Raw genomic sequence first — 13,200 nt, forward strand, 5'->3', positions numbered from 1 at the left:
ATTAGAAAAAGAAGACCATACAAAATCTTAAATTAGCAGGAGAAAAGAAATAATAGAAATCAGAGCAGAAATAAATCAAATACAGAATGGAAAAACCATAGAAAAAATCAATAAGACTTAGAGATTTTTTTTGAAAAAAAAAATACAAAATCATCAAGCTTTTAGCTAGCCTAATTAAGAAAAAAGAAGACTCAAACAAAAAACAAAAAAAATTAAAGTGAAGAAGTTTGAACAGATAACTCAGAAATAAAAAAGAATACCCAAATAAATGGAAATAAATCACATGCTCATGGATGTGAAGAATTAATATGTTAAAATGTCTATATTACCGAAAGCAATGTACAGATTCAACATGATTCCTCTCAAAATCCCAAGGGCATTATGCACAGAAATAGAAGAAAACAATTCTAAAATTTATATGGAAACATAAAAAACCTTGAATAGCCCAGGCAATCTTCAGCAAAAGAACAACGCTAGAGACATCACACTTCCTGATTTAAAATATGTTACAAGGATATAATGATCAGAAGAGGGTGGTACTGGCATTAAACTAGACACATAGACCAGTGGAAAAGAATACAGAGTCCAGAAATAAATCCAAATATATACGCTCTGGTAATTTTTCACAATGCCACCAAGAAGACACGATGAGAAAAAGATTGTGTCTTTAATACATGGTGCTGAGAAAGCTAGATTTCCATATGTCAAAGAATAAAATGAGACTCTTGTCTTACACCATCCATAGAAATCAACTCAAAATGGGTAAGACCTAAATGTAAGAACTGGAACTATAACACTTTTAGATGAGAACATAGGGGAAAAACTCTTGGACATTGTTGTTAACAACGATATCTTGGTGTGATGCACCAAAAGCTCAGGCCACAAAAGAAAACATAAATAAATGGGACTACATCAAACTAAAAAGCTTCTGTACAGCAAAGGAAACAACAAAATAAAATGGCAGCCTATGGATTGGGAAAAAAAGTTTGCCAGCCATATATCTGATAAGGTATTGATGTCCAAAAGATATAAAGAACATATACAACTTAATAGTAGAAAAAATAATTGAAAAATGAGCAGAAGACCAGAATAGACATGTCTCCAAAAGAGACATAAAAATAGCCAGCAGATATATGAAAAGATGCTCAACATTGGTAGTCATCAGAGAAATGCAAATGAAAATCATGAGATACCACTGCATACCTGCTAGGATGACTATTATCAAAAAGTTAAAAGATAACCAATGTTGGAAAAGTTGTGGAGAAAAGGAAAGTCTTGTACACTTGGTAGGAATATACAGTTATTATGGAAAATAGTATGGAAGTTTCTTAAACGATTAAAAATAGAACTACCACATGACCCAGCAATCCCTCTTCTGCATACATACCCAAAGGAAATGGAATCACCGTCTTGTAAAGATATCTATACTTCAGTGTTCACTGAAGCATTAGTCACAATAGCCAAGATATTGAAACAGCCTAAGTGTTTGTCGATGAGGAAATTTTGTGTATAAATACACACACACACACACACACACATTTTGTTCAAAAGAATAAAATCTTGCCATTTGTCATACCATGGATATGTCTGGGACAAATTATGCTAAGTGAATAAGCTAGACACAGAAAGAACAATATTGCATGATTTCACTAATATGTGGAATCTGTAAAAAAAAAAAAAAAACAACCCTTGAATATATAGAGATAGAGAAGAAAGCAGTGGATACAGGTGGAGAGGTGGTCCAAAAATGGGAAGATGTAGTTAAGAGGATACAAATTAAGTTATGTAGGATGAACAAGTCTAGAGGTCTAAGATACAATATGAGGACTATAAATAATAAAATTGTACTGTGTCTGTGATTCATGCTAAATGAGTCGATTTTAGCTGCTCTTGCCACAAAACCAAAAAAAAAAAAAAAAATAGATAGCTGTGAGATGATGGATATGTTAATTTGCTTCACTATAGTAACTATTTTACTATCTATGTATATCCCATGTTATGTTGTATACCTTAAATTTACACAATAATATTTATTAAAAAGAATACAATCAATTCATAGTTTAAGCAACTAAAAAAGAAATCCTCAAAAATAAATGAAAGCTAAATGACATGCATATTTTTAAAGGGTTATATGAAAGCACATGGCATATGGAGATTATTTGCAGTGATTTTTTGGGCCGCGAGAATCAGAATGAGCTATGTAATTAGACAACCTGTTCGTAATTATTACTGTGATTGACATTATTTGAAGCACATTCACAATTGTTCCACAAGACCCAGGATTATCATAATTAATGAAAATGTGAGTGACTGATTGATAACTTCTGCTGTATCAATATTGCTATATTTTTAAGGTTCTTGAGTAAGTCTGCAGAATAATAATAATTTGGTTGTATATCATTAAGTTCATTTTGTGTTCTATCTTAGCATTTTCCCTTAGCCGCATCACATCTTGGATAAAATGAGACATGACGCATTCAGCTTGGATGTTAAAAACAAAACATGAGGCAGCTGAAGGGTTTAGTCATGGAACAGACCCACAATTTAACCCACTTTCTCTGTGTTCATCATGTCCGAGAGTATAGCAGCTCATAAAAACTGTGCAGAGGGTTATCTGGGATTATGAAAGGCACAAAATCACCTGAGATATTCTTATAAAATATAATCGCTTTTTAAGTTTATGCACTGATTAAGGCATCTTAGAGATTTTGTAGCTTGGCATTGAATGAAATGTAGTTGATGGCTGAAAGAAATAACATATGGAACACATTATTTCAGTTACTTGTAATGCTTATGCAAAATCACAGAATAATGTTATATCAATAAGAGATATGCCTGGAGTCTTGTGATCATGTACCGCTTTCCATAAAAGGTTATGCAAACAAACAAACTTTTCAGTAGAATGCTTGTTTCATTGTAGGCATTAGTGGTGATTATTTTTAAAATTATTTTTCAAAAATATCTTCTGTATGTAAGTGTGTTTACACAAGATTGGCTTTAGTATAAATGGACTGTTTTAACAGGCTGCAAGAGAAAATAATTAATGTCTTGGACAAGTATATTTTACACATGAGATTTTGAAATGTTAATTTTTAAAGTGCATTGGTATATGGAAGCAACATTTATTTTCACTAGCTTTTACTTTCTCTATCAGTATGATTTAGCTGTGCATAAATTATTTACTAGTCAGCTAAATGGTGGTATAATTTTTCACTGGTAAATCTAGCTAACTTTCAACTGGTAGAACTTAAAATACTTTTGGACATTATAGAACTTTATAAACAGTTGGATGACAATATAAAATTCACAAAGTAAATTTCTTTCAATGTTATAGGAAATTTGAAGTCTACATAATTTCTAATTTTCACAAATATGGCATTGTGCTATATGCTTACAAAAGATGATAATTGCAAAGTTACAGGGATACTATTTCACATGGATTAAAATCTGATGGATATTTTCCCCCAATATATTTACTTTTTTTCAACTCTTGATCATATTTCTCTGCTTTAACCTTTGTCATGATTTGAGTAGGTAATGAAAAACAAGAAGGAAAAACACCAACTGTGCAGTGCTAATTATGTGTTTATCCTTCATTCTAGCCTTGTATAAATAAGGAGTTCAGTTTAGTAATAATTCATGTGGTATTTTGTTTAACCTAGGGACTCTTAAAAGTCTTTATCATGTTGTAGTATAGATTTCCAGAGAAGTAAAACATAAATTATATATCTTATTTGTTCTCTTTATGGTAGCTCAAGTAAACTTGAATCAACATAGTCTTAGACACTGAAAGCATTTTAACTCATAACATTCTCTCTACTTTCTACTCCCACAGTATTTTATACTATTAATAATACTGCACCCATCACATGGCATTAATGGGCTATATGTGTATCTGTCTTTCATACCATAATAGGAGTTGCTTAAAGGCAGAATTGTGTCTCAATTATGTCTCCTTTGCTTCTAACGGAGGACCTCCTATAGAAGAGGGAGTCAGGAAACATATGTGGAATTAGATTGCATTATTCAAGCATTATAATTTTAGTCAGACATTCTATTTGTTTGATTCCAAGGATTAAAAAACTTCCTTTATCTGTACCTAAGAAATTATATCCAGATATTGTGAACATTACAATCAAGAATAGGATATTACATAAACAAATGAAAATACTGAAAAAGGAAATAACTGTATTTGGATATCTATATTTGCATCTACATACATTATAAATCTGCCTACATTTATATTTATATCTATATTTAATGTATGCATTTTGGATTTCAAAGTAAATACATTGGTTGATCACCATTGGTTATAAAATAGAGCTAAGTTTTAAAGAAATAATTGGTGCAATGTGTTTTGATCACAAAGGTAAAGCACATATTGTGTGCCATTTGTGCACAATTATGCAATGTTGTCCTGTTTCTCTGTTTCCAGTTGCTTATCACTCTAGTCCACTTTCCCACTATTCAGAGATATTCAGAGTTATATCTCTAAATGTAGCCCTGATGATGTCACTTCCTAACACTAGCTTTCTGACTAGGCATGGAAAAATCTTGATGATTTCATTATTGCCTATCTTCCTTTTCTCATTACTGGTAATTTACTATGTTATACTCTCTGCCTTTAGCCACACAAAACTCTGTAGTCCCCCAAACGAACCACACTATCTCAAGTCTGTGTGACTTTTCCCACTTATTCTTTCTGTCCAGAATGCCCTTTTCTGCCATTCCTCCTAGAAAACTCACATCAGCCTTAAATATTCAATTCAAACTCTACCCTGCCTAAGGCAGAATAATTAACAGCCTTTTCGGTGTAGTCACACTACATCCTGAACCTACTTCCATTTTTACATGTAGCAAGTTGTGTTTTAACATTTGTTTTCGCCTTTGTTCTGTCCTACTTCTATAGCCTTTGCAAGTAGGATTTATGTCTTTGTATCTTTCTTATCCCAGAACCAGGCATACCATCTGAGATATAGCAGGTGCTTAAAAAATATTTGTAGAACTAATTATCTTATTTAATTTTTACAACCACATATGTTTGCAGCTGAGGATGCTGAGGTCTAAAAAGTTTGAGTAACTTGCTCAAGGTTATACAGCTAGTGAATGGCAGATATCCAGTCTGGAGGCTTCTATGTATCTGCCTTTTATCCTAGGAATACCATAAAAGCCATTTATGTTCAGATCTATCCTTCTAGAAAATTGAGTATTTGTAGCTGCTCTGATGTAACCCATGTCTCTTTGATAATTTTTCTTCTGCTTTCTCCATGCCTATGAATACCTCACAACTACTTGAATTGGCTCAGTCTTGGCTCTTATCTTCCTTGTCTCTGGTTTGATGTATCTGACTTTCTTTGATCTTGGTTTAGATTATTCTATGATTTTTTTGGTCTGCTTTTTGGTTGGTTGTTTTTTTTGGTGACAAAGTCAAAGTATCTGCCTTGTATTGCTCTTCCTTAAAATTAGTCAGTCTTCCTAGGGGAACCTGCCAACATCCTTACTCTTATTTCCTATTTTCCATCCATCACCAGTGACTGTAGCTACACCAGGCATATTCTCTTTTAACTCCTCAGACTTTGACATGTTCAGGCAGAAGCCATTACAAGACATCAAGAAATATAATTTCTCAGGTGTGCCTAATGCTGTGATAAGAACTATTAATAATTCCCTTCACAGATGCTACTGAATACCAATATATGAAATGCTAATATTGTAATAAATAACATTTAAGAGAGTGAATTCCTTGTGAGATTTCACTTACATATAGACTACTATTTATTGTCAAAAGATTTTTAGCACTCGCCTCTTATCTTAGACCCAGGCTTTTACTTTCAGTTGCCTATAGCACATATCTTTTTAGATATTTACCTTAATTTTCCTTGCAAAATGTCTAAAACTGGATTTTTTTTAGCATATCCTCCAAACCAAACCTTTTTCTACTTCTCCATTTCTGTCAATAGTTCCTCCCCCGTTTTTTTTTTTTTTTTTTTTTTTTTTAAGTTTCATCATGTCTAAAAGCTATGTAGTTATCTCTGAGTATTTCCTCTCTTTCATCGACTAAGGGAACCAAGGCATCAAAGTATCAACATTGGTTGAATTTTTTTCATTCAAAATATCTCTCAGATCCAACAGTCCTTCAGCAACACCTTGTTCTAATACATCATCACCACATCCCACTTCCTGTCTCCTGTTTACATGCATCAAATAATCCTGTGTACTGCAGATAATTTTCCTAAGACACTACTTTTATTAAGCCATTACGCCTGCTACTGCCTATTTATTAAGACCAAGCTTCAACCTGATAATTGAGAATGCAGAGTGCCTTTCTTTCATGTTTCCTCTGCCAGATTTGCCCTTTTTTAGCTGTTTCCCCCATTTATCTGAGTAAACACTCATCCTTCAACAACCCACTTTAATGTCACCTCTTCTATGAAACCTTTTCTGAACTAATTAATCATTTCATCCTCTGTGTTTTATAGCATCCATCATATTATATTACAGTTTGCTGTTTATCTGTACTTTTTTGTACTTTTTGTTCTACTGTTGAGTTATTTAAGGTTAGGGCCTAGATTTCGCTGATATATTCATTCCTCAAATGCTGCACAATATCTGGCATAGAGTGGTAATTTAATACATATGTGTTAAATGAATGAATACATAAAATAATGGCAGTGTTATTTTATATGGTATTCATTCTACATATACTCATGTACATATACTCTACATTTACTCACATTTTCTTTACTTTTCTGAAATGCCTTTGTACTAGTCTCCAAAAATTCAAATGCAATATATTTTTGAAAATAGTTGAATACAAAATGATATACTTGATATTACTGTAACTATTTAAATGTGGGCACATATTCAACCACTCTAGGTAGTATCTACATTGAAGTGGTGGAATTTATGGTTACTGTTGACATTGAACTTATTTTAAACAGATTTTAAAGTCTCCATTTTGTTTTATTGTGCTGCTTTTTCAAAGTGTTAGGTCACTTATCATGGTGGCCTTAAAATATGATATAAAATGATAAGTGCCTGTTGAATATTCACCACAAACATTTCAACACGCATGTGTACACACTTACATACACATACACACCAAACTTTAAATTTCCTTCAAGAGTCAGATCAAATTTTACTTGTTCCTTTAAATGTTCCACAAATCATTCCATTTAACAGTATTTATATTAGTCTGTTCTCATGCTGCTAATAGAGACATATGTGAGACTGGGTAATTTATGAAGGAAAGAGATTTAATTGACTCACAGTTCCACATGGCTGGAGAGGTCTCACAAACATGGCGGAAGGCGAATGAGGAGCTGTCTTACATGGCGGCAGGCAAGTGAGCCTGTGCAGGGGAATTTCCATTTATAAAACCGTCAGATCTCATGAGACTTATTTACTATCAGGAGAACAGTTATGTAGGAAATAGCCCCCATGATTCAAGTATCTCCACCTGGCACCACCCTTGACATGTGGAGATTATTATAATCGAAGGTGAGATTTGGGTGGGGACACAGAGCCAAACCAAATCAGTGTTGTTTTTCTCAAAATCCCTTTAGCACATTCAGCCTGTAAGATAAAACTATTATTTCATTCACTATGGCCAAATATTCTGTTTTATCTCTTATCTCACATTAAAGCTAGGATTTCTTTATTTTTAAACTTTCATAGTTTCAGGTAGACAGTAGGCAATTAACCAATACTTAATCTTGCTGATATTGTTGATTTTGATGATGATGAGAGCCCCTGCCAGGGCTGACAAGCTAAGATCATTTCTCATTTTATAGTGACACAGGTCTTTATAAAAAATTAGCACCTTCTCTGCTGGAAACTCTTTGCAAGTCTGTTAAATTGAGTTTGCTTCTGGCTAGAATTTTCTTTTTTCCTCCTCAATTTAAGGTATTAGCTATTCTGGGCTTTGTGGGTGTTCTCCTGCCAGGCTTTTTTCTTTGTTCCCCCTCTCTCTTAATCCATTTATGCATATAAATATTGTTGTTTTTTTAATTACACAATATCGTTCTCTCCAACAAGGTAGACAGATAAATCGTTTGCTAATGATTTAACACTCGAAAACTTAAACACTGGTTATTGAAATTCTACTGACTAGGCAAGGTTTGTTTTTGTTTTCCTCCAGAAGCATGAGGCAGTAATATGATATATAATTCATATTTCTTTTAACAGGAAAGTTTTCTCTTTGGAATTTACTTTAGATTTTATTTTTTAAATTATATAGCCATTTACTTTATACCATTTAAAAATTACATCTCTAGCAAACCAAGGTATGTTTAGTAAATTTTAATATTGATCAATATGTATTTATTGTTATCAAATATTAAAATTAAGGTTTAAATAAAGCATCATTTTAAGTTCACTTTACCTGGTTGTTTTAGATCAGGTACTTGAATGGCTTGTAATAGAGCAGGCAATTGCTGTTTAAATGGCTAAATATTATTTTATCTTCATAATGGAATCACACTTTTAATTCGTATTTCTTATAAACAAAAGTGTTCATTGGTCAAGTTGAAGTATAATTATAATTTCATTATTTTTCCCATTAATTCAAATATCAGATAGTTTTCATCTACATTTTAAAATTGAATGAATAACAAGGTCGTATATGTGCTTAAAAATAACATTAAATTTTTTCTTTTGAAATTGATACATAATTTTTTCTTATTCTCTAAGACTATGCTATTTTTCTGAGATCTTAGTGTTGCTTTTCAGTGGACTTAAATGAACAATGTGAGTATTAATGTTATTAATCTTAAAATTTTAAAGCATAAGGTCTAATTCTACTCTTTTTAATTTGTCTGGAATTAGGAAATTGGTTTGAGAAGAAATATAGTATTTATGTCATATTTGTCATTTAATTCAGTCTAAGTTTGAACTTCTCATCTGTGGCCTCTTATGGTCTGGAGAAGCCCTCTGGGACTCAAAGCGTGATTTGATTCAGTCATTACCATATAATCCTCTTGGATGGAGCAAAGACCATTGCTGTGAAGCTCTTAGAGCAAGAGAGGACTGAAGAAGTTAAATATATGGGCCATAGACTATAAAACATAATCTATTAGAAAACAAACCCTACAGTATCTAGTCGGATACCTAATTAAATAATCAATTAAACATACTAAATCATTGAGCAAATGAGTATGAAAAAAATCTTTCTTTAAAGCCAGGTTTAAATTACCACACACATTTATGTCCAGTCAACAATTCTTTTCTTGGCGTATTTTTTCTCCATTTCCATTTCTTTAAATCCAGGATTGGTGCACTCTTAGCTTGAAATTACAACTCACTCAGAAATAACATGCTGTTTATCTGCTGGGCTCAAAACTAGGAGACACCAGGAGTGAGTTCAGAATTAGCTAGAGCAATTTAAGCGTTGGAGTCTTAATCTCTGTAATGATACTCCTTAGGTCACAACTATCTAGGGGCTATTTAGCCTTCTTTATATTTTGCAATTTCTTTTTTCTTACTCTCCTCCTTCAATGAAGGCAGGAGGCCAGGAAGACTACTAGCTGCCAGCATTTCTATTAACAAAAACCTAGCTGTTTCTTTAAAGCAGACTTTCTAAAACAAACAAACCAAAAAACAAAAACAGAGAAGTACTTTTTCCTTAGTTTATTTTTTAACATAGCAAATCAGCTTTCTCCAGAGCAAATACTAATGTCTCAACATGCAGAGAATGGAAGTCTTATGATTTTTCTATTTTCATTTCTTCATGGCAATGGATTATTAATACCTATTGATCTCTACTTTATGTCCACTATTTTGAATTCCCAAATAACACCCACCAGTATTCTAGCTTGATGTGAAGAGTGCCTTTTATTACTAGTTGTGGTCTCTTGAAATTTTTTCAGAAAATAAATGTGTGTGTGTGTGTGTGTGTGTGTGTGTTTTGTGTGAGTGTGTGAAGGGGACAGGAAGGGAGGGAAGGACAGGGAAAAAAAGAGCTGTTCAAATGTTACTAGAAATCATGGTATGAATAACAGAAGGTTAGTACTTCTTATATTTAACTTACCTAAAAGGTGATTTGGGACTGGAATTATAATGTTTACCCTTGTAAAATGCACAAATAAGTCTGCATCTTCTCATTGTTGTTATTGCCTGCCCATTGTCCACATTTGCTTTAGCCACTGTTAAAACACAGAGTTCACTGTTTTTATCTATTTAGGGACCAATGTAGTGTCCATTGATTTTGTTTCGTGGTGTGCTTAAGTCAACCACCTTCATTTTAGAGTAACTTAAGGAGCATTTTTATTGGGTTCACTTTAGAGTTGAGTCATGCCTTGGAAGACTGATGAACATCAGCAATTAAGTGACACACATTATGTTCATGTCATCATATACATATGTCTAACTATGAATCACCTATGATATTGCCCCGTCTGCTGTATTGCAGGAAAAGCAGAGGTTTCTGACCGATGTTCTGCATGAAGTGATGCTGCTGGACGGTTTGGCCAGTTCCCATCCAGTATCACAGGAAGTGCTGCAGGCAACAGATATTGACAGGGTGTTTGACTGGATCGCATATAAAAAGGTGGGAATAAAGAACAAAGTGCCAATTAGATATTTCATTACCAAGATAGCTAAACTAATTCATGTTAGATGTATGTATTTTTCTTTTTTTCCGGGCAGATAGACATAGACTGTGATTTAGAAAACAGAGTCACTAGGTTCGTGTCATTTTATGAGCTACAGCTTTGCTTTAAAAGTTGGCAAAATGGAGATTAATATTTGCCAAATAATGCATAGAAATATTGGAAATATTAATCAATAAATATTTGGAGACTCGATATGAAATTGCTCTACAAATGATGTTATGTAAATGTCAGTTTTTATTATTATTAATAAGAGGGCTGACCCATATAGTGACAAATTAATTTTCACCAATGCCCTTAAATACTAACTTATTTTGATGGGCTGATGCAAATGGATATAGGTAATGACATGATGCATGCATCTTATAAACATTATTTAAAAGAGATTTTGAAAATTAAACATTTCCTGAATAACTAAGCATAACAAAAGAAATTTTAAAATACTAGACTTTCAATGGCAACAAATAATTTTGAGCCAATGACTAGATATAAAAATAAGGCAAATATGAATTTTTCCCATTGTTACTTGGATTAGGATTTTTCTTTATATCTGTATCTCTTAGTTGTTCTAATTTTAACATGATGATGTGCCTCTTAGTGTTTTACATGCACTAGCCACTTAATAATAGTTAAAATAGGATCAAAGTCTGCTGTGATTTTTAGTGTAGGTTAAATTGCATTTGTTGGAATTTCTATGTACTTTTTTTTTCTTTTGAGATGGAGTCTCACTCTGTCGCCAGGCTGGAGTGCAGTGACGCCATCTTGGCTCACTGCAACCTTCACCTCCCGGGTTCAAGTGATTCTCCTGCCTTAGCCTCCTGAGTAGCTGGGACTGCAGGCATGTTCCACTATGCCTGGCTAATTTCTGTATTTTTAGTAGAGACAGGGTTTCACCATGTTGGCCAGGCTGGTCTCAAACTCCTGTTCTCAAGTAATCCACCCGCCTCTGCCTCCCAAAGTGCTGGGATTACAGGTTTGAGCCATGGCACCCAGCCTGGAATACTATTCTCGATACTCTGTGAGGGATAAAAAGATATCATGAATAACCGCATGGAAATAACTAGGAAGTTAGAAGTTATACCCTGAAGCATTTATTGTAGTGAACACACAAAAAATATTTTGGTTGGGTCCTGTTAGTCCTCCAACTTTGTTCTTTTTTTTTTTTTTTTTTTTTTTAAGTTTCTTTGGTCCTTTGCATATGAGTTTAAGAATGAGTTTGTAAACTCCTACAAAGATTATACTGGAATTGCAGGAAATGTGCATTATGTTTATAAAACAATTTGGGAGACTTGACATCTTAGCAATATTGACTGACCCATGAATACAGTATGCCTCCAGTTCCTTTAGGTCCCCTTTATTTCTATCAATGATGTAGTTCTCAGTGAATACATTTTTCATATTTTTTTTCAGATTTATCCCTAAGTATTTTACATTTCTGGGCTATTGTAAATAGTATTATTTTGAAATTTCATTTCTAATTTTTGTCTTGCTGTACATAGAATGCAATTCATTTTTGCATATTTTTCTGGTACAATGTTAAATAGAAGTGGTGAGAGCAAACCCTTGTGCTGTTCCTAATTTTAGAAGCAATACCTTCAGTCTTTATCCATTAGGTATGATGTCTCTAAATATTTATAAATGCCTTTTATCAGGTTGAAGATGTTGCATGCTATTTTGCCATTGCTAAAAGTTTTAATCAGAAATGGATGTTGACTCAATTCAATGCTTTTCTCCAGAATCTATCAAGATGGTTATATTTTTTTTGTTTTTTAGTTTGTTAATATGGTGAATTATAATGATTAATTTTTTAATGTTAGACTATCTTTGCATTCCTGAGACAAATGTCATTTAGTCCTAATATATTATCCTTTTTATAAATTGTTGGATTCAATTTGCTAAAAAAATGTTTAGAAATTTTGCATCTGGGCTAATGAGGGATATTAGTATGTAATTTTCTTTCTTGTAACGTCTTTCACCTTGTTGTCACTATAGTGCTAGCATCATGCAATGGAAACTATTATCTTTTTCAACTTTCTCGGAGAATTTGTATAAAATTTATATTATGTCTTTCTTGAATGTTTGTTAGAATTTACCAGTATAGCAGTAGGGACCTGAAATTTTCTTCCTGGGAAGGTTTTTAACTAATGATTTAATTTTGTTAATATATGGTGGGTTATTTATTTATTTTAATGCGAGCATTGGTAGTTTCTTTCTCACGCACTTCGCCCATTTCATCTAAAATGTTTACTTTATTGACATAAAGTTTTACAGGATATATTCCCTTATTATCCCTTTAATAACTGCAGCATCTCTAATCATATAACCTCTTTCATTCCAGATATTGGTAATTTGTGTATTATTCCTTTTTTTGTGATTTGTCTAGCTGGACATTTATAAATTTTATTGATCTCAAAAAGCATCCTTTGTTGTAATTGATTTTCTCTCTTGTTTTCTATTTCATAGATATGCTCTCTAATCAATATTTCCTTTTTCTACCTACTTTGAATTTAAATTCTTCTTTTCTCTACTTTCCTAAGGTAGAAGCTGAGGTCATTAACTTGAGACCTTTCTTCTGTTCCATTTTAAGCCTTTA

General features: G+C 32.8%; 1 protein-coding gene across 5 annotated transcripts in view; it reads left to right on the forward strand.

Moving 5' to 3' along the window:
- The window catches only part of TRHDE (thyrotropin releasing hormone degrading enzyme), a 583,493-nt gene that overhangs the window by 401,824 nt on the left and 168,469 nt on the right, over nucleotides 1–13,200 (forward strand). For all 5 annotated transcript variants that reach the window (XM_017019244.2, NM_013381.3, XM_017019243.3 and 2 more), the window contains one exon: nucleotides 10,409–10,546. In XM_017019244.2, the coding sequence (XP_016874733.1) occupies nucleotides 10,409–10,546 (138 nt within the window). The remainder of the gene's footprint in view (nucleotides 1–10,408; nucleotides 10,547–13,200) is intronic.

The sequence above is a fragment of the Homo sapiens genome, chromosome 12 (assembly GCF_000001405.40).
Source record: "Homo sapiens chromosome 12, GRCh38.p14 Primary Assembly".
Classification (NCBI taxonomy): Eukaryota; Metazoa; Chordata; class Mammalia; order Primates; family Hominidae; genus Homo; species Homo sapiens.